Source organism: Homo sapiens, chromosome 7, assembly GCF_000001405.40.
Source record: "Homo sapiens chromosome 7, GRCh38.p14 Primary Assembly".
NCBI lineage: Eukaryota > Metazoa > Chordata > Mammalia > Primates > Hominidae > Homo > Homo sapiens.
Genome location: NC_000007.14, coordinates 130,632,929 through 130,656,499, shown reverse-complemented (window position 1 = coordinate 130,656,499; position 23,571 = coordinate 130,632,929). Strand labels below are relative to the sequence as shown.

The 23,571-nt window shown below is 39.7% G+C and overlaps 1 protein-coding gene across 2 annotated transcripts in view; it reads left to right on the top strand.

Annotated features, from left to right (window-relative positions):
• COPG2 (coat protein complex I subunit gamma 2) overlaps positions 1–23,571 on the top strand; it is a 162,511-nt gene that overhangs the window by 12,249 nt on the left and 126,691 nt on the right. For both annotated transcript variants that reach the window (NM_012133.6, NM_001290033.2), the window contains exon 5: positions 3,552–3,631. In NM_012133.6, coding sequence (NP_036265.3) covers positions 3,552–3,631 — 80 coding nt within the window. The remainder of the gene's footprint in view (positions 1–3,551; positions 3,632–23,571) is intronic.

Sequence of the window (23,571 nt, the reverse complement as noted above, 5' to 3'; positions counted from 1 at the left end):
TACTCTGGTAGTTTGTATCTTTCAAGGAATTTCAGTTAAATTGTTGAACTTGGCATAAAGCTCTTCATAATATTCCTCCATTCTTTTAATGTCTGCAGAATCCTTAGTGGTGTCTCTTCCTTCATTCTGATATTGGTAAATTGTATTTTCTCTCTTTTATTTCTAGGAAGCTTGTCTAGGGATTTATAAACTTTATTGATCTTGTCATAGAACCAGCTTTCTGTTTCATTGATTTTTTTAAAAATTAATTATTTTTCTCTTCCAAACTAATTGTGCGAAAAGAAAAAAAAAAGCTAAAAAATCAAACCAAAAGAAGGGGAAAAAAAGAGGAAGAGAAACATAGATCAAATAGGACAAACATAAATCTTATAATGACCTGGTAGATATAGACCCAAATATATCATTATCCACATTAAATGTAAATGAAGAGCACAAAGATCATTTACAAAAAGTTGATTGTATATTGAGCCATAAAGCAAGACACAACACATTTCAAAGGATTGAAATCATATAGACTGTGTTCTTTATTTACAATGGGATAGTGTTGGAAATTAATAAAAAAAGAATAACTAGATAAATTGCCATTTATTTTGATAGTAAGAACATTTTTCTGTTTTGTTTACAGCCATGATAAAGTAAATGGACTGGATTTACCCTGCTACTATAAATACCTAGAAAATCAAACAAAATTTATGACATAACAGTTTTCAGATATTGGATAATAGGCATCCCAGGACTGTGATCTGAAGAAGGGAAACTAGGTCAGCCCTAGGATTGTACTAGATCATGGCCCAGAAACAGATTACAGGCCTAGTTCTCTCTCAGAGTTGAGAAAACGAATGGAGGTTGGGAGCCAGGAAAGCTCGAATTTATGAAGCAGAATACCAAAGAAGAAGGAGCTGGAGAGAAAAAAGAGGGGCGGGGAGAGAAGGAAGGAGGAGAGGGAGGGATTCCATGATCTGTTGAGGACTATCCCTGGAGTCTTTGGTTAAGTAAAAACTGATCTGTGTGTGTAAAAAAGGAAACTACTCAAAGCTAAGGAAAGAATCCGAAAAACACAGAACTCAGAATAGTTTGTATTCCCACCAGTGAGAGTGGAAAGACCTTCTATTGCATAAGACATCTGGTATAGTTCTCAAAAGGAAACCATTCATAAGTAATTATTACCTAAGTAATGGGAATATACTATAACCTTACACTAAAACTTTAAAAAGCCTGTAAGTAAGCCTCAAAGTGAAAAAAAAACAAACAAACTAGTCCTGGTTAACCTTCCCTCACGACAGAATAGAGTTCAATACTATTTAAGATCATACACCAAAATAAACTTCACAATGTGCAGCATCTAATAAATGATCAGATATGCAAATAAACAGGAAATATTATCTATAAACAGGAGAAAAATGGATCAGCAGACACAAACCCAGAAATGGTAAAGGTGATGGAATGAGCAGATGATGTCATTAAAACAACTATTAACATGATCTATATGCTTAAGTTGTAAAGAAAGGCATAACAAGAATAAAGCATAAAATAGGAGAGATACAAAGAGATCCAAATACACTTCCCAAAAATTAAAAAAAAAGAAAAGAAATATATAAAATGAAAACTACACTGCATGGGGTTAATAGCAAATTAGAGATGTAGGACAAACAAACAAACAAACAAAAAAACCCAGGGTCATTGAAGACAGCAGTAGAAGTCCAAAATAAAGCAGAGAGGAAAAAAAGACAGAGTAGAAATAAACAGAGCATCAGCAACCTGTGGGGTAATACTTTGGAAGTTTTTTTATTGTTTATATTCAAAATTGCAATGGGTTTTTGACTTATCAAAATCAAATACTCATCTTTGTGTTTTCCCTACTCATGGGAAATTCGAGAGTCTTAGGATACTCTGATTCCTTATACGTATATGAGTATATCAACATATGTGTATATATACATACACACGTGCACATTTACATTAATATATTCTATGCCATCATTTTCTTGTGAGTCTTGTTTGCTCATTGTGACTTACTCCTGTCTTTAGCACTTTTTAAAAACTCTTCATTCCTTGCTCTATTTCTGAGTTACTCTGGAATGATTTTCCTTGTGCTTGAAGAATATACCTTTTAGAACCTCATTTTGGTAGATGTTAGATACTATATTCCATGCCAGTAAGATCCTTCTGTGGCTGTGAATGTTTGGTTGTCTTCATTTCTAGCATCTGTGAATTTCTCTTTATTTTGTCCTTGGCTACACATTTAAAATTTTTGTTCTGATTTTATTCAGCATTTCTGTGTATTTGTTTATGCAGTATGTTTTAGTGGTTAAGAGCACATTTTTGGCCAACATTTTGTGTTGTTTGTCTTTTGAATTTTCACCATTTTGGTGGGTGTGAGGTAGTTTCTGAAACGTGGTTTTAATTTTTCATTGGATAAGTAATTTTCATTTCCCTGATGACTAATAATGTTGAGCCCCCATTTTTTGTGTTTTAATGAAATTTTTTTCGTATCTCTAGTTTTCTTCTGCTTCTCACAGAACTTTTTTTTTCTTTAAATTGGGGTGGGGTGTTCCTGAAATTTTGATTCTTATTTTTTGTTTTCTTCTCATAGTAGCTTTGATCTGCCCCATGTGTGTGCCTATACTGGCTTTCTGTGTGTGTTTTTTTTCTGTTTTTAATCACCACGAGGATCCTCACTCTCTTTTCTTTCCTTAATGGGTTCAGTAGTATCAAGGTTTTCTCCATAGCTTGGACTCTGGAGCTGCGTCTGATGTATTTGGGTTTCTCTACTTAAAAGAAATTTGAGGTTACTCAGTAAGGGATGAGGCTGGACAGACTAGAGGAACCTGGTGTCTGGCTGCTGCCCATTTATCCATAGTGTATGAATAAATCAGAGATCCAGTTGAGTCGGGGAGAGTAGGTGGAGCATTGTTAGCTTAGTACTTACTTGGATCCAGGTATTCATCTAGAAATCTCATTTAGGGTTCAGGAGGAAACATTGGTATACACTGAACTGAGGAAAGTGCAGAGTTTGCACATTTTCCAGGAATGAGCCTTTAATTAATACTGTACGCCGTCTCTACTAAAAATACAAAAATTAGCCAGGTGTGGTGGTGAGTGCCTGTAATTCCAGCTACCCAGGAGGCTGCGGCAGGAGAATTGCTTGAACCCCGGAGGCGGAGGTTGTGGTGAGCCACGATTGCGCCATTGCACTCCAGCCTAGGCAACAGAGCGTAACTCTGTCTCAAAAAAACAAAACAAGACAAAACAAAAAACCTTTGTCTTTGGACTCAAGCTATCATAGTCTAAGTTTGTATCTCTCAGTAGAAAGATCCATATAATTGAATTTTTAAGTTTTTACCTATTGTGTCAATGCATCAGTTGTGTTTAGGAAATATTAGTATTCTGAATAGTTTCTCACCCAGATATTAATTTTTTTTTTTGGTAGATGAGACTCTTTTAAAGAATATCTTTCTAAAATATATATCTACTTGGGGTCCTCACTTCAAATAATTTAAAAAACCATTTCCTAATCAATAATCTGTTACCTTTTATAAATGATTTTTCAGCAAACATTGAGGAGAATGTGCTACCTTACCATCAAAGAAATGGCTACCATCTCTGAGGATGTGATAATTGTCACAAGCAGGTATGTAAATGGTCAAAATCTAGGATGAGATACTTATATATTTGCTGTTTGCTTTCTGTTGATTTCATTTTTTGACCATAAGAAAGCCAATAGGAATTTAAAAGAATATAATATCTTAAAGCATTCTTTTCTAAAATGAAGTTTTCATCATGTGAAAGCCATCCTTATCTGATAAAGCAAAGGAAGAAGTTACAAAAGATAATACTGATAGATTTGAGTGCATCAAAATTTTCATAAAAATGGATAAAACTAAAAAGTAAAAGATAACGTGCACTGAAATAAAATATTTACAACAAATACATCAAAGGCTAGCATCTGTAATATATAAAGAACTTTTAAAAAGAAACAAGTGATAATTCATCAAATAACCAATATAAAGGATCTAAACGTCTTTAGATAGTCGTTCTCACTAGTAACCAAAAAACATAAATTAAAAATTCAAGAATGAGGTATAATATTTTTTACTCATCAAAATGGCAAAAAAGCAAACAGGCAGCATTCAGTACTTGTGTAAGGGAGACATACTCTTGTACAAAGGAGACAGAGTAATAAATTGATTCAATTTTTCTAGAAAGTAATTTAGCAACATTTATTGAATAATTGAAAGGCTTTATCCCTTTGACCTAGTAAGGCCACATCTGTGGAACTATCCTTGGAAAATAATCAGACATAACACAGAAAAACTTATATATATTGATGTTTGTTGCAACACCATTTACAGTAGAAAAAAGGACAAACAACTTACGTGTCTACCATTGATAAAATTATTTAATTAACCATATCATCATATTATAAAATATTTTAAAATTTGGAGATATTTTTGAAACATCTGATATAAATAAGTCTTCATAAAGTGCTAAATGGGGGTTGGAGTCAATCTACGTATTCCATATAGTCTCACTTTAAAGAACATTTTATGTGCCAGACATGGTGGCTCATGCCTGTAATCCCAGCACTTTGGGAGGCCGACGCAGGTGGATCATCTGAGGTCAGGACAAGACCAACCTGGCCAACATGGTGAAACTCCTTCTCTACTAAAAATACAAAAAAATTGGCCGGGCGCGGTGGCTCACACCTGTAATCCCAGCACTTTGGGAGGCCGAGGCGGGTGGATCATGAGGTCAGGAGATCGAGACCATCCTGGCTAACAAGGTGAAACCCCGTCTCTACTAAAAATACAAAAAATTAGCCGGGCGCGGTGGCGGGCGCCTGTAGTCCCAGCTACTCGGGAGGCTGAGGCAGGAGAATGGCGTGAACCCGGGAAGCGGAGCTTGCAGTGAGCCGAGATTGCGCCACTGCAGTCCGCAGTCCGACCTGGGGGACAGAGCGAGACTCCGTCTCAAAAAAAAAAAAAAAAAAAAAAAAAAAAAAAAATACAAAAAAATTAGCCAGGCATTGGTAGCACGCTCCTGTAATTCCAGCTACTTGGGAGGCTGAGGCGGGAGAATCGCTGGAGCCTGGGAGGTGGAGATTGCGGTGAGCCGAGATCGTGCCACTGCACTCCAGCCTGGGTGACAGAGCGAGACTCAGTCTCAGAAAAAAAAAACATTTTATGTATATATATAAAAAATGTGGATAGAAGTTATACAGACTTATCTCTGGATAGTTGGGATTGTGGCTGATATTTATTTTCTTTTAAACTTTTTATAATTTGCAAATGTCCTAGAATAAGTATATATAATTTATAGTTCTAAGTGTGTAATGAACATTATTTTTAAAATAGTTGCCTTTTTAATTACTATAACTCATTGAAGTGAATCTGGTTTTGTATAACATAATAAATTGTAGAGGAGGGTGCTTGTGTTTAACCAGTAGTAGTATGGAATGTAGTTTCAATTAGGAAAGCTTTCAGCTGAAAATAACAGAAAAGCAGATGTAAACAGTGACATAAACAAGATGGGAGTTTATTTTTTCTCATATAATCGTAAGTCTAGAGGCTTGGAGTAGCTGGTGTTGGCTCAGTCATTCAGCAGTGTCAGGGTAGTGTCTCTTGAATTCTTTGGACATTCTCCATTGTTGCAAAATAGATGCCCAAATTACTGGCAATGTACCATATTCAAGGCTAGAGGGGTCCTGGGAAGGAAGCCAGGGAAGGCCACACCATCTGCCTCTTTCATCAGGAATCTAATATCTTTTCCCAAGGCAATTTTTAGATTTCACTTGGCACAACTGTGTTATATGACTATCCTTAGGAAGCCAGGAAAGTGAGTATTTAGTATTTTATAGCCCAAGTATTAGGGACAGAAAAGGGAGAAGGGGTTGAAAATGGATGTCGGATTAGTTAACTAATGGTGTCTACCACAAGTAAAAAAACAAACAAATGAACAAAAAAACCCAGAAAACCTTCAGTTAGATTGCTAGATTCACTAATATTTTGAAAATTTTAAAATAAATTAGTTGTTGACTGAGAGTTTTTTGTTTGTTTCTTTTAGCGCTGTCAATACTTGCCTCTGAGTTTTGCTAGGCTACCTTGAATTATGGTGTATTTCTATTAATAGTTCATTTTAAGTGATTAGTAGTTGTGGTAGGCAGGATAATAGTGACCCAAAGATGTCCACGTCCCAATTCCTAGGACCTGTGAATATGTACATTACATGGCAAAAGGGAATTAAGATTGCAAAACAGCAGATAGGGAGATTATTTTGGATCATTCAGGTGGGCCCTTTAAGGACTACACTTCTTAAAAATGGAAGTGGGATGCAGAAGAGGCGTCAGTAAGAGATGTGATGATGGAAACAAGGTCAGAGATGCAGTGTTGCTGGATTTGGAGATGGGGGAAGAGGGCCATGAGTCAAGGAATGTGGTAACCTCTAGAGACTGGAAAAAGCAAGGATTCACCCTTCTAGCCTCCGGAAAGGACTGTAGCCCTACCGATATCTTGATTTTAGCCCAGTGAGACAAGTGTTGGACTTCTAACTTTTATAACTGTAAGATAAAGAAATGAATGTTGTATTTTCCTCTAAGTTTGTGGTACTTTGTTACAGCAGCAATAGAAGACTAATGCAGATTTTGGTACCTGGAAGTGGGGTGCTGCCGTAACAAATACCTAAAAATGTGGAAGTAGCTTTGGAATTATGCAGTGAGCACATCTGGAAGAATTTTGAGGTGCAAGATAGAAAACGCCTAGATTGCCATGACAATAGAAATATGGATGTTAATGACTCTATTAGACTTAGAAAAAAGTGAGCAGCAGGATAGAGAAAACATTTATCATCTTAGAGAATACCTAAATCATTGTGAACAGATGGTGGAAATGCATTAAAGGTGCTGGCTCAGAGGAAAATGTTGGGAATTAGAGGAAAAGGGATCCCTGTTATAGTGGCAGAAAGCTCATCAGGCTTGTATACTGCAATTACATGGAAAGGAGGACTTACAAACAGTGAACTTGGATGTTTAACTGAAGAGATTTCCAAGCAAAGTGTTGAAGTTATGGCCTAGTTATGGCCTAGTTTCTTTTTGCCACTAATAGTAAAATTGAAAGTAGAGAAATAAGTCAAGAAGAGACCTGTTAAACAAAAAGGAACCAGGGCTTGATGATTTTGGAAATTCTTAGTCTACCCAAGTGGCTAAGGGTGCTAAAGTCAGGAGTTTCACGGTCAGGAAAACGTGCTCTAAAGAAAAAGCCAAAGGAGTCACTGCACAACCTTTTGCTGAAACCTCAGAAAGATGAAAAGGTCAGAGCATTCACTCACACAAAACACTGAAGAGATCAAGGGGTGTGACTCATAGATTCCCTTAGCATCTAAGTAGAAGCCAGAAATAGAGATGGGATTATCTAGGCAAGATCTGTGGAGGAGCCTCTTGTCTAATGGAGTGAGTCTCTGTACTTATACAGTAGACCCACAAGGTTTTTGAGAATTCTACGTCAGCAGCAACTCAGAGCTAGAGAGAGAGGATGAAGTGAAAGACTCAAAGAGGAGGCAAAATTCCTCTTCATCTGTGGACCTATGGAATTAGAAAAGAAATGAGAGGATGAAGTGAAAGAAGGCTATCAGAGCCCCAAATTCTATAGGCAGGAAACAAGCCGATGAAACTACTCAGCTTTAAATACACGCTGGTTACCCTTTATGAAAAAGGAAGGAAGACTCTGAGGGCAAAAGGGCAGTCCTGTAGGGTGGAACTGAGAACTTTACAGAATTCTGCCCGTGCAGAGACCTATTCCAGGTTGCCTAACTGGATTTCAGAATTGCTTGGGACCAATGATGTCTTCCCTTTCACTTTCTTTCATTTTGAATGGGAATATCTGTAACTATATCCTACGGCAGTCCCGTCCTTGTATTTTGGGAGCAGGGGATTTCTTTTCTAATTCCGTAGGTCCGAAGATGGAGAGGAATTTTGCCTCAGGATGGATTATACCAAGAGTCTCACCCACACCAAATTTAGATTTTGATAATAAGATTGAGATTTTTGAGTCCATGAGATTTAGATGAGATTTTGGACTTTGAATTGATGCTGCAGTGTGTTGAGACTTTGGGGGGATCTTGGAAGGGGGTGAATGAATGTATTTTGCTTGTGAAATGGACATAGCCCTAATGACACAGTGATTTTAGCCCAGTGAGACTTATGTTGGACTTCTAATCTACAGAACTGAAAATAATAAATTCATGTTGTTTTAAGCCACTAATTGTGGTAATTTGTTACAGCAGGAATAGAAAACTAATATTATAGATGACCTTTCTGTATGCATAGAAAATTTGTTGGCTTGGCAAGAAACCATGGAGATTAAAAAAATCTGAAGGCACATACTTCACAAAAGAATATATGCAAATGGCCAATAAGCACAATGTTCTTAACATTATTAGTCATCAGGGAAATGCAAATTAAAATCTTAGTGAGATAGGCTGGGCACGGTGGCTCACGCGTGTAATCCCAGCACTTTGGGAGGCCGAGGTGGGTGGATCATGAGGTCAGGAGATCGAGACCGTCCTGGCTAACACGGTGAAACCCTGTCTCTACTAAAAATACAAAAAATTAGCTGGGCGTGGTGGCAGGCATCTGTAGTCCCAGCTACTCAGGAGGCTGAGGCAGGAGAATTGCTTGAACCCGGGAGGCGGAGGTTGTGGTGAGCCGAGATCATGCCACTGCACTCCAGCCTGGGCGACCGAGTGAGACTTCGTCTCGAAAAAAAAAAAAAAAAATCTTAATGAGGTACAGCATACCCACTAGAATGGTTACAACAAAAAAGCTTGACAATACCAAAATAAAAAAGCCTATTCCAATATCGAACATTTGGAACAATTGAAACTCCCATACACTGTAGATAGGAATGTAGAATGATACAACCACCGTAGAAAAGTTTTGGCAGTTTCTTATAAAGTTAATTATATACCTGCCCTGTGACCAGTAATACCCCTTCTAGGTATTTACTCAAGGAAAATGAATACATATATGGCCACAAAAAAGACTGTACAAGAATGTCATAACAGCCTTATGAGGGTTCTTCAAAAAGTTTGTGGGAAATGTGTGTTATGAAAAAATATCCATGGAGTTTGTATTAGTCCATTTTCATACTGCTATAAAGATACTACCTGAGGCCAGGCACAGTGCCTCACACCTGTAATCCCAGCACTATGGGTGGCTGAGGTGGGGCGGATCACTTTAGGTCAGGAGTTTGAGACCAGCCTGGCCAACATGGGGAAACCCCATATAAAAATACAAAAATTAGCTTGATGTGGTGGCACACGCCTGTAGTCTCAGCTACTCAGGAAGCTGTGACAGGAGAGTCGCTTGAACCTGGGAGGCAGAGATTGCAGTGAGCCAGGATCTCACCACTGCACTCCAGCCTGGGTGACAGAGCGAGATTCCATCTTAAAAATAAATAAATAAATAAATATATATATACACATATATATATATACATATATATATACACATATATATATATACATATATATATACACATATATATATGCATATATATATATACGTATATATATATACACACACAAACACACACTATCCGAGACTGGGTAATTTATAAAGGAAAGGGGTGTAATTGACTCACAGTTCCGCGTGGCTGGGGGAGGCCTCAGGAAACTTACAATCATGGCAGAAGGGGAAGCAGGCACATCTTACATGGTGGCAAGAGAGAGAAAAGAGTGAAAGCACAGCAAAAACTGCCATTTATAAAACTATCAGATCTCATGAGAACTCACTATCACAAAAACAGCATGGGAGAAACTGCCCCCATGATCCAATCACCTACCTCCCTCAACACGTGGGGATTGCAATTCGAGATGAGATTTCGGTGGAGATGACAGAGCCAAACCATATCAGAATTCAAAATTTTTTTGCACTAAAATATAAACTCATGACTAACTTGTTAATAACATGTCCGAACAGTAACTAGCTTGAGACACTAATACATCCGTTTGAAAATAATCCATTTCAGAGCAACATCAATTCTGCTAAAATTGAAACAAGAACAAACATTACATTTATGGTGAACTTTGGGTAGAAGAATGGTGAAATTATCGATGTGTTACAAAAAAGCATGGCAATAGTGACCCAAAGAAATCAGCAGTTTACAAATGGATAAGTTGTATTAAGAAGGGATGAGACAATGTTAACCATGAAGCCCTTCGTCTTCAGCAGCAGACCATCTACATCAATTTGTAAAACTGATGATTAACAGCAGCAATAGCCAATGTATGGACACCTCATTTGGTTCAGCCTTACCCAATTCTGACTGATAAAATTAAAGTTGAGCAAACTATTTAATGGATGTCAAAACTATTGCATCTAGATTGGCTGCAGGCAAGAGCAGAGCTTTAAGTGGAAGTTTTAAACAAGTGAGATCAAGATCCTGAGACATTTCCTTGAGGAATTATAACGGGAGAAGAAATGTGGCTAGCAGTCCAATCCTGAAGACAAAGTATGATCAAAGCAATAGCTACCAAGAGGTGGAAGTGGAAGTGGTCCAGTCAAAGCAAAAGTGGACCTGTCAAAAACAGGGCAACAGTTTTTGGAGATGCTTGAGGGATTTTGCTTGTTCACTTTCTGGAGGGCCAAGTAATGATAATAGCTTATTATGAGAGTATTTAGAGAAAGTTGGCCAAAGCTTTAGTAGAAAAACACTTGGGAAAGCTTCACCAGAGAGTCCTTCTCCACCGTGACAGTGTCTGTTCATTTGTCTCATCAAACAAGGGCAATTTTGCAAGAGTGTCCGTAGGCATCCACCTTAGAGTTCTTATCTGGCTTCTTTCTTTTGCTTCCTAATCTTGAAAAAAATCTCTAAAGAGCACCCATGTTTCTTCAGTTAATAATGGAAAAATGGGTGAGCGTGGGGGATGTGGCTGGGTGGGTGCCGGGGCTTCACCTCCAAGGCAGTGGCCGGATCATGATTGAGGTGATTGAGCCCCTGGAGCCTCTAGTGCCTGTGGATTTTGGCAGTCTCGAGGCAGTGGTCCGGTTGGAGAAAGACATCATCTTCGCCCATGGGCTCCACCCCATGGACACCGACGGGTGGAGCCCATGGAGTCGGTCCTGGAGGGCAGATGTCTATACCTGAGATCTAACAATGTAGTAGAAGGCAACTGTGCTGAAGAATTACTACAAAACTCCCATTGCGTCGTGAAGGAGTATTTTGTGGCCCCCCAGGTAATATCTCTTTGCCAAAGCTGGATGAACAAGAGCCTTTCTCACACAGCCGAGTAGCTCATTCTGGAAAGGGGGTACTCTCTGAATACGTGGAAGCATGAGGACCATATTTTCTTACTGTGAACACTAATTTTCCTGCTTTTTCCAGTCACCTGAAAAAATGGATGCTTAAGCATTTCTTTTCTTTTTTTTTTTTTTTTTGTTTTTGGGATGAAGTCTCGCTCTTGTCCCCCAGGCTGGAGTGCAATGGTGTGATCTCATCTCGCTGCAATCTCTGCCTCCTGGGTTCAAGCGATTCTCCTGCCTCAGCCTCCTGAGTAGCTGGGATTACAGGCACCTGCCACCACACCCGGCTAATTTTTGTATTTTTAGTAGAGAAGGGGTTTCACCATATTGGCCAGGTTGGTCTCGAACTTGTGACCTCAGGTGATCTGCCTGCCTCGGCCTCCCAAAATGCTGGGATTACAGGCGTGAGCCACTGCGCCCGGCCAGCATTTCTTAATAGCAGACTCTTCTGAAGACAGAATTGGGAAATATCTGGCACCAACAAGGCAATGAGTTCCTGATGCTAACTGAAGTAAAAGGAAAGCAAAAGTCAGCTTCCAAGGAAATAGCTTCCAAGGTATTCACTTAACAGGCCTGTTCAGTATGGAAGACACTATTTATCCCCCTTTAACTCTCGCCAAAGGACTATACCAACTGCATGAAAGTGAACTTTTACATCTACTTAAATGGTAGATGGAGCACCTTGATCACTATGTGACAACCTTGGTTGTCATTTTTAGTTGCTATTTGAATTGATTTGAGCAGCCCTATCTTCACCGGACATACCTGAATTTGTTCCTAGGTACCCACTTTGTTCCTAGAAAAGGGCTAACTTTCTACTATGGTCTGAAGAGTGTTCAAAGTAGACTAGAGCTTGGGAACTCCTAACCTAGAACCATCTGCCATCCCACAAAGTGATTAGATGCAAAAGGGATACTAGTCATACCTAGTGTTTCTCTTTCTGAAAAGAGAACTTATCCTAAAAGTAGCCATGGGCCTGGGACAAAGTAGCCCTTTCCACCCCCAAAATGATTATTAGATTGACGTGAGTCCAAGATTGTGGAGTTTTTTGTTTTTTGTTTTAAAACAGATACCAAGAATAAATGAAACCTATTTAGGGATTCATTCTCTAATTAATAGATTCTAAGTAATAGAATCGGAGAGAGACTTTTTCCTCTAACCAAACTGCCAAAGTTGTTTTTGGCTAAGAATTTCCCAATGATCTTTGCACTGCTGCTCATTTCTTTTATTTTTCTGAGATAGGGTCTCTCTCTGTCACCCAGGCTGGAGTGCAGTGGTGTGATCACAGATCACTGCAACCTCCAACTTCTGGGCTCAAGTTATCCTCCCACCTCAGCCTCCTGAGTAGCCAGGACTACAGGTGTGTATCACCGCCTCCAGTTAATTTGTGTGTGTGTTTTTTTTAAATAGAGATGGGGTCTTGTTATGTTGCCTATCTGGTCTTGAACTCCTGGCCTCAGAGGATCCTCTGACATGCCTTGGCCTCCCAAAGTGCTGGGATCACAGGCGTAAACCACGATGCGTAGCTTGTTACTCATTCTTAAAAGTCTGTGTTTATTTTTCCCATTCCCTTCTTTTATCTGCAGTCCTTCTTTTTTCTTTAAGGCAGCTTAATTTACAAGCTTGGCCTTGAGTTAAAAGAGAACCCCGAACGTTGAAGTTGAAGTTCTCAAACCAACATCAGAGCAACTATCTTAATCCCCATATAAACAAAGTTATCTACTCCTGGCTCCTTAAAAAAATAATAATAATGTAAAAATGACTGCATTGACATGCTTACATTCCCAGCAACTTCAATTGTTTAGGGATGGACTAAATGACTGGTATCATCACTTTAAAATGTGTCTTGAACTTGATGGAGCTATGTCGATAAATAAAATTTATAGTTTTTGTGGGTTTTTTTTTTTTTGAGACACAGTCTCGCTCTGTCGCCCAGGCTGGAGTGCAGTGGCGCGATCTTGGCTCAGTGCAAGCTCCGCCTCCCGGGTTCATGCCATCCTACTGCCTCAGCCTCCCGAGTAGCTGGGACTACAGGTGCCCGCCACCACGCCTGGCTAATATTTGTATTTTTAGTAGAGACGGGGTTTCACCATGTTAGCCAGGATGGTCTCGATCTCCTGACCTCATGATCCGCCCGCCTCGGCCTCCCAAAGTGCTGGGAGCCACCGCGCCCGGCCTATAGTTTTTGTTTTTGTTTTGAGACGGAGTCTTGTTCTGTCACACAGGCTGGAGTGGAATGGTGTGCCCTTGGCTCACTGCAGCCTCCGCCTCCCAGGCTTAAGCCTTCCAAGTAGCTGGGATTACAGCTGTGTGCCACCACGCCCAGCTAATTTTTGTATTTTTAGTAGAGATGTGGTTTCACCATGTTGGCCGGGCTGGTCTCAAACTCCTGACCTCAAGTGATCTGCCCGTCTTGGCCTCCCAAAGTGCTGGGCTTACAGGCGTGAGCTACTGTGCTCAGCCGTTAGGTTTATTTTTTAATTCCATTTTTCCACAGATTTTTTGAAGTCCCCTCGTATTTGTGATAGCCCTAAACTGGAAACATCCCAAATGCTCATCAAAGAAGAAGGAACAAATTGTGGTATATTCATGCAATAGACTATTACTCAGCAATAAAAGGAAAAAATTGCTGATTCAGGCAACAACATGGATAAACTTCTAAAACATTTATGTTGGAAAGAAAACAGACACAAAAGAATATATGCTGGATGATTCTCTTCGTATAAACTCCAAGAACAGCCCCCAAACTCATCTGTGGTGATAGAAGTCAGAAGTCTACTGGGTTAGAGGAAATTGATTGGAAATGGGCATGAGGGAACTTTCTGGGGTGATGGAAATGTTCAGTATTTTTATTTTGGATGGAGGTTACATAGATGATCACAATTGCCAAAACTGATTTAGCATAATATTTCAGTTGTCCATTTTATTGTATAAATTACAGCTCGGTGAAAAAAAAAAGAGATGTAGTTAGTGTCTTAACTAACTAAATGTATATTGACAACCTGATTTTACTGTTCTACTCATTACAAGAAGGCATACCCTTATGTGATGGCACCCACCCAGTGAAAGTCTGGAATTGAGTCCTGAGAGAATTGAGGAATTGAGAATTGAGAGAATTGAGGAATTGAGAATTGAGAGAATTGAGAATTCTGGAATTGAGTCCTGAGGAATGATCCATCACTCACATTAGGAAGTACTCTGGGGAGTGGGCATCAGTATGTGAGAAGTTACGTCCCGGTTTCAGAAAATCAAATGAAAAATTCAAAGACCATGGTTTAGGAAGAAATAAATGGGTTGTAGAAACTGTTATCAGCTAGGCAGTTTTGAAATCAATTGTGCCGATAATGTGTGGATTCGGGTAGGGGGAGAAAGATACTTTGTGCTTCCTAAGGAAACTAAATGCTAAGTTCATCCACTTAGTAAGAAATATACAAGCCCGAAACAACTTTTCTATTTGAATGGTGCAGCTGTTCCTGAATAATTACTTCTGAAGATTTACTGCCAGGAAATGGTTTAGAACAAGAAAATGAGATACTATTATGACTTAACCACCACTGTAGTGAAACTCCTCTCAAAGATTTCCAGTAACTTCTTACTTAGTTAATTTTAAAAGTTAATTTTCTGTCCACATTTTACCTGACCTCTTTCCCAGTTTTAACATGGTTAAATACTTCCTGGAGTTGTACCATCTTTGGCTTTCAGAAACCATAGTCCTGGATTTCCTCTCCTCTTTGATTTCTCCATTTTATCCTATGATAGCTCAGAAGTGGCTGGTTTTCTTCTGCCTGTCATCTAAATATTGGTATTCCCTAGGGTTCATATCAGTGCTGTAGTTCTTTCCCAAACTCATCATGCTCTTTGATACCCTTTATATTTGTACATGCTTCTCCCTGTGCCTGGAATTATTCTGTTGCCTTTTCCACATAGCTCAAATACATGTCATTATAGGTACTGACTTCCTTCTTCTTCTTTCTTGACAGATTAGTCATTGTCTTCTCTGTTGTTCTCTTTTTTTTTTTTTTTTTTTTGAGAGGTAGGGTCTTGCTATGTTGATTAGGTTGGTCTTGAACTCCTGACCTCAAGCAGTCCTCTCATCTCAGCCTCCCAAAGTGCTGGAATTACAGGTGAGAGCCACTACCCCTAGCCTCGGTTGTTCTAACACTTGATTTTTTTTTTTAACCTCTGTTCTAGTATTTTAATATATTGTACTATAATTATTTGCATAGTTTTTCTGCCTTCTGAATTATTAATTCTTTGAGAGAAAGAAACACATATAACTTTGTATCATCAATACCTGGAAAAGTGCTTTGTATTATTAGACATGCAATAAAAGTGTTGCATGAGTTAAAAGATAATCCATTTTCTCTCTTCAAGCAAGGGAGTTGGAATCAGAAGGATTATTTATTTCCCTCTCTACCTCAGGAAAGCACTCACACAGGCAGAAGTGGAGAAAGGTGTGTTAATGTGTGTTGAGAAACCTTTCTGTCTCCTACTTCCCTTCTCTTTTTCCTGCCCAGTTTGCAAGCCAACTTTCCTGATTTATTTGGATTAACACTTATTTTATTTTAAAATGAAATTGGGGCAGACTTTTCAGGAAAGATGATGAAGTGATGCCACGTCTCAAAACTTCCTTCTCTAAAGCCTAGTGAAATGAACAACAGTGAATAAAAGGGAAAGCCAGGAGACTTCTAATTCTAGCCAAGATGAAATAAAGCTACTGGAGCCCATCTTTCCCAGTGATTACAAATAATAAATAATAATAATAATAATAAATAACAACCCTGGACAAAAAAACAAAAACAATTACCTGAAGCCTCCAAATAGTAAATATAGTAGGTGAATTAGGGAGAGAAAACAATACTTAATGAATGACCAATATAGCAACAGTGAGTTTCATGGTTAATTTTCATCTTTATACCTTGAGTTTGACCCAAGGGCAGACTGAATCAGGGAACTATATAGTAGGTGTGGTCAATAGAGACTGAGAAAGAAGCCCATCTCTCTGGCCTGAGCACAGTTTACAAAAAAAAAAAAAAAAAAAAAAAGGTTGGTGGTGACTGCAAGCTGGAGAGCTGGGGGAGAATCCTTGTTTGTTTGTTTGTTTGTGTTTTTCTTGTTTTCTTTCCCGTCCTGAGGTCAGCCCTAGTTGTGGAACAACTTTACTAGGATACGACAGCAATGTTGTGAGCACTTAAAACCCTCGGAAGAAACCTACCACTGAGAAAAGGGACGGCTGTTGGGTGAAGAGTGGGGGAAAAGCCACATCATTATTTTTTCTTTCTATCTTTTCTTACCTCTTCATCATGAAGGTGGGCCCACTTGCATAGTACAGGGAGCTGAAACTCTTGAGAGAACCCCATATTTCTGGCTGACGACCTGGGAAAGGTGTCTTTGACTGCCAGATGGTATGGGAAAAAAGATATGAGGAAAGACATGGAGGAATGGATAATTTACCAAAGCACTACATGTATGGACTATTCCTAAAGAAGCATAGCAAAAGCTTTGAAGTATAAACTGACATTGGAATCAATATGCACAGAAGGCGAGGCAGAACTTGTAATCTGAAACTAACTGGGTTGATTCCTTGCTAAAACAAAAAAGTCAGTAGTCCCCAGAGGCTTTTAATAGGATCCAGAGTCTCATGACATAATCAAAATATGCAGGATACAATCCAAAACCAGTCAACCAGGAAAGGAAATTGATTCCATTGAACCAATGTTAATCTCTACAAGTGTGTCATTTTGGGGTTGGTATCTGTTGATTGGAAAAAACTTGGAAATTTTCAAGGGAAAAGATAATCAATAGATACCCCCAAAATGACCCAGTTGTAGGGATTCTTAAATACTTTAAAGCAGCTACTGCAACCATGTACTATAAAGGCAGACACTCTTGAAATCAATGGAAAGAGGAATTCTCAGCAGTGAGCTATATATACAAAACCAAATGAAAATTCTAGAAATGACAGACTATAATATGTAAAGTAAAAAGATTCATTAGCTCAGACGTGGAGGTGTGGCTGGCAAGATGGCCGAATAGGAACAGCTCTGGTCTCCAGCTCCCAGCGAGATCAACGTGGAAGGCGGGTGATTTCTGCATTTCCAACCGAGGTACCCGGCTCTTCTCACTGGGACTGGTTAGACAGTGGGTGCAGCCCCTGGAGGTCAAGTTGAAGCAGGATGGGGCATTGCCTCACCAGGGAAGTGCAAGGGGTTGGGGAACTCCCTCCCCTAGCCAAGGGAAGCTATAAGGGACTGCACCTTGAGGAATGGTGCACTTCAGCCCAGATACTACGCTTTTCCCATGGTCTTCAAACCTGCAGACCAGGAGATTCCCTCTGGTGCCTACGCCACCAGGGCCCTGGGTTTCAAGGACAAAACTGGGCGGCCGTTTGGGCAGACACCGAGCTAGCTGCAGGAGTTTTTTTTTTCATACCTCAGTGGCGCCTGGAATGCCAGCGAGACAGAACTGTTCACTCTTCTGGAAAGGGGGCTGAAGCCAGGGAGCCAAGTGGTCTAGCTCAGTGGATCCCACCCCCACGGAGCCCAGCAAGCTAAGATCCACTGGCTTGAAATTCTTGCTGCCAGCACAGCAGTCTGAAGTTGACCTGGGATACTTGAGCTTGGTGTGGGGGGAGGGGTGTCTGCCATTACTGAGGCTTGAGTAGGTGGTTTTCCGCTCACAGTATAAACAAAGGTGCCCAGAAGTTTGAACTGGGCGGAACCCACTGCAGCTCGGCAAAGCCTCTGTAGCCAGACCGCCTCTCTAGATTCCTCCTCTCTGGGCAGGGCATCTCTGAAAGAAAGGCAGCAGCCCCAGTTAGGGGCTTTTGGATAAAACTCCCATCTCCCTGGGACAGAGCACCTGGGGGAAGGGGCGGCTGTGGGCACAGTTTCAGTAGACTTGAACGTTCCTGCCTGCTGGCTCTGAAGAGGACAGCAGATCTCCCAGAACAGTGCTCAAGCTCTCCTAAGGGTCAGACTACCTCCTCAAGTGGGTCCCTGACCCCTGTGCCTCCTTACTGGGAGATACCTCCCAGCAGGGGTCAACAGACACCTCATACAGGAGAGCTCCAGCTGGCATCTGGCAGGAGCCCCTCTGGGACAAAGCTTCCAGAGGAAGGAACAGGCGGCAATCTTTGCTGTTCTGCGGCCTCTGCTGGTGATACCCAGGCAAACAGGGTCTGGAGTGGACCTCCAGCAAATTCCAGCAGACCTGCAGCAGAGGGTCCTGACTGTTAGAAGGAAAACTAACAAACAGAAAGGAATAGCATCAACATCAACAAAAAGGACATCCACACAGAAACCCCATCTGAAGGTCACCAACATCAAAGACCAAAGATAGATAAATCCACGAGGCTGAGGAAAAACCAGTGCAAAAAGGCTGAAAATTCCAAAAACCAGAATGCCTCTTCTCCAAAGGATCACAACTCCTTGCCAACAAGGGAACAAAACTGGACAGATAATGAGTTTGACAAATTGGCAGAAGTAGGCTTCAGAGGGTAGGTAATAACAAACTCCTCAGAGCTAACGGAGCATGTTCTAACCCAATGTAAGGAAGCTAAGAACCTTGAAAAAAGGTTAGAGGAGTTGCTAAGTAGAATAACCAGCTTAGAAAGAAAATAAATAACCTGATGTAGCTGAAAAACACAGCATGAGAACATCGTGAAGCATACACAAGTATCAATAGCCAAATTGATCAAGTGGAAGAAAGGATATCGGAGATTGAAGATAAATCTAATGAAATAAAGTGTGAAGACAAGATTAGAGAAGAAAGAATGAAAAGGAATGAAAAAAGCCTCCAAGAAATATGGGACTATGTCAAAAGACCAAACCTACGTTTGATTGGCGTACCTGAAAGTGATGGGGAGAATGGAACCAAGTTGGAAAACACTCTTCAGGATATTATCCAGAAGAACTTCCCCAACCTAGCAAGACAGGCCAACATTCAAATTCAGGAAATACAGAGAATATCACAAAGATACTCCTCGAGAAGAGCAACCCCACAACACATAATTGTCAGATTCACCAACGTTGAAATGAAGGAAAAAATGTTAAGGGCAGCCAGAGAGAAAGGTCGGGTTACTCACAAAGGGAAGCCCATCAGACTAACAGTGGATCTCTCTGCAGAAACCCTACAAGCCAGAAGAGAGTGGGGGCCAATATTCAACATTCTTAAAGAAAAGAATTTTCAGCCCGGAATTTTATATCCAGACAAACTAACCTTCATAAGTGAAGGAGAAATAAAATCCTTTACAGAGAAGCAAATCCTGAGAGATTATGTCACCACCAGGCCTGCCTTTCAAGAGCTCCTGAAAGGAGCACTAAATATGGAAAGGAAAAACAAGTGTCAGCCACTGCAAAAACATACCAAATGGTAAAGACCATTGACACTATGAAGAAACTGCATCAACTAATGGGCAAAATAGCCAGCTAGCATCATAATGAAAGGATCAAATTCACATATAACAATATCAACCTTAAATGTAAACTGGCTAAATGCCCCAGTGGAAAGACACAGACTGGCAAATTGGATAAGGAGTCAAGATCCATTGGTGTACTGTATTCAGGAGACTGATCTCACATGCAGAGACACACATAGGCTTAAAATAAAGGGATGGAAGAATATTTACCAAGCAAATGAAAGCAAAAAAAAAAAAAAAAAAAAACCGGTTGCAATCCTAGTCTCTGATAAAACAGACTTTAAACCAACAAAGATCAAAAGAGACAAAGAAAGGCATTACATAATGGTAAAGGGATCAATGCAACAAGAAGAGCTAACTATCCTAAATATATGAAATATAAATGCACCCAATGCAGGAGCACCCAGATTCATAAAGCAAGTTCTTAGAGACCTACAAAGAGACCTAGACTCCCACACAATAATAGTGGGAGTCTTTTAACACCCCACTGTCAGTATTAGACAGATCAACGAAACAGAAAATTAACAAGGATATTCAGGACTTGAACTCAGCTCTGGATCAAGCGGACCTAATAGAAATCTACAGAACTCTCCACCCCAAATCAACGGAATATACATTCTTCTCCACACCACATTGGACATATTCTAAAATTGTCCACATAATTGGAAGTAAAACACTCCTCAGCAAATGCAAAAGAACAGAAATCATAAGAAACAGTTGCTCAGACCATGGTGCAATCCAATTAGAATTCAGGATTAAGAAACTCACTCAAACCATACAACTACATGGAAACTGAACAACCTGCCCCTGAATGACTACTGGGTAAATAATGAAATTAAGGCAGAAATAAATAAGTTCTTTGAAACCAATCAGATCAAAGATACAACGTAACATAATCTCTGGGACACAGCTAAAGCAGTGTTTAGAGGGAAATTTATAGCACTAAATGCCCACAGGAGAAAGCAGGAAAGATCTAAAATCTACACCCCAATATCACAATTAAAAGAACTAGAGAAGCTAGAGCAAACAAATTCAAAAGCTAGCAGAAGACAAGAAATAACTAAGAGCAGAGCAGAACTGAAGGAGATAGAGACACAAAAAATCCTTCAAAAAATCAATGAATCCAGGAGCTGGTTTTTTGAAAAGATTAGCAAAATAGATGGACTGCTAGCCAGACTAATAAAGAAGAGAGAAGAATCAAATAGACACAATAAAAAATGATAAAAGATATCACCACTGATCCCACAGAAATACAAACTACCATAACAGAATACTATAAACACCTCTATGCAAATAAACTAGAAAACCTAGAAGAAATGGATAAATTCCTGGACACACACACCCTCCCGAGACTAAATCAGGAAGAAGTTGAATCCCTGAATAGACCAATAACAAGTTCTGAAATTGTGGCAGTAATTAATAGCCTACCAACCAAAAAAAGCCCAGGACCAGACAGGTTCACAGCCGAATTCTACCAGAGGTACAAAAAGCAGCTGGTACTATTCCTTCTGAAACTGCTCCAAACAATAGAAAAAGAGGGACTCCTCCCTAACTCATTTTATGAGGCCAGCATCATCCTGATACCAAAACCTGGCAGAGACACAACAAAAAAAGAAAATTTCAGGCCAATAACCCTGATGAACATCGATGCGAAAATCCTCAATAAAATACGGGCAAACCGAATCCAGCAGCACATCAAAAAGCTTATCTAGTATGATCAAGTTGGCTTCATCCCTGGGATGCAAGGCTGGTTCAGCATACACAAATCAACAAATGTAATCCATCACATAAACAGAGCCAATGACAAAAACCACATGATTATCTCAATAGATGCAGAAAAGGCCTTTGATAAAATTAAACACCCCTTCATGCTAAAAATTCTCAAAAAACTAGGTGTTGATGGAACGTATCTCAAAATAATAAGAGCTATTTATGACAAACCCACAGCCAATATCATACTGAATGGGCAAAAGCTGGCAGCATTCCCTTTGAAAACAGGCACAAGACAAGGATGCCCTCTCTCACCACTCCTATTCAACATATTATTGGAAGTTCTGGCTAGGGCTATTAAGCAAGAGAAAGCAATAAAGGTATTCAGATAGGAGGAAGTCAGATTGTCTCTGTTTGCAGATGACATGATTGTATATTTGGAAAACCCCATCATCTCAGCCCGAAATCTCCTTAAGCTGATAAGCAACTTCAGCAAAGTCTCAGGGTACAAAATCAGTGTGCAAAAATCACAGGCATTCCTATATATCAATAATAGACAAACAGCCAAATCATGAGTGAACTCCCATTCACAATTGCTACAAAGAATAAAATACCTAGGAATTCAACTTATAAGGGATGGGAAGGACCTCTTCAAGGAGAACTACAAACTACTTCTCAAGGAAATAAGAGAGGACACAAACAAATGGAAAAACATTCCATGCTCATGGATAGGAAGAATCAATACTGTGAAAATGGCCATACTGCCCAAAGTAATGTGTAGAATCAGTGCTATCCCCATTAAGCTCCCATTGGCTTTCTTCACATAATTAGAAAAAAACTACTTTAAATTTCATATGGAACCAAAAAAGATCCCACATAGCCAAGACAATCCTAAGCAAAAAGAACAAAGCTGGAGGCATCACGCTACCTGACTTCAAACTATACTACAAGGATACAGTAACCAAAACAGCGTGATACTGGTATCAAAACAGATACATAGACCAACGGAAAAGAACAGAGGCCTCAGAAATAACACCACACATTTACAACCATCTGATCTTTGACAAACCTGACAAAAACAAGCAATGGGGAAAGGATTCCCTATTTAATAAATGATGTTGGGAAAACTGGCTAGCTATATGCAGAAAACTCAAACTGGACCCCTTTCTTACACCTTATACAAAAATTAACTCAAAATGGATTAAAGACTTAAATGTAAGACCTAAAACCATAAAAACCCTAGAAGAAAACCTCGGTAATACCATTCAGGACATAGGCATGGGCAAAGACTTCATGACTAAAACACCAAAAGCAATGGCAACAAAAGCCAAAATAGACAAATGGGATCTAATTAAACTAAAGAGCTTCTGCACAATGAAAGAAACTATCATCAGAGTGAACAGGCAACCTACAGAATGGGAGAAAATTTTTGCAGTCTATCCATCTGACAAAGGGCTGATATCTAGAATCTACCAAGAACTTAAATTTGCAAGAAAAAAACCACCCCATCAAAAAGTGGGTGAAGGATATGAACAGACACTTCTCAAAAGAAGAGATTATGAAATAAAGCTCATCATCACTGGTCATTAGAGAAATGCAAATCAAAACCACAATGAGATACCATCTCATGCCACTTAGAGTGGCGATCATTAAAAAGTCAGGAAACAACAGATGCTGGAGAGGATGTGGAGAAATAGGAATGCCTTTACACTGTTGGTGGGAGTGTAAATTAGTTCAACCATTGTGGAAGACAGTGTGGCGATTCCTCAAGGATCTAGAACCAGAAATACCTTTAGAGCCAGTAATCGCATTACTGGGTATATATCCAAAGGATTATAAATCATTCTGCTATAAAGACACATGCACATGTATGTTTATTGCAGCACTGTTCACAATAGCAAACACTTGGAACCAGCCCAAATGCCCGTCAATGATAGATTGGATAAAGAAAATGTGGCACATATACACCATGTAATACTATGCAGCCATAAAAAAGGATGAGTTCATGTCCTTTGCAGGGACATGGATAAAGCTGGAAACCATCATTCTCAGCAAACTAACACGGGAACAGAAAACCAAACACTGCATGTTCTCACTCATAGGTGGGAGTTGAACAGTGAGAACACATGGACACAGGGAGAGGAAC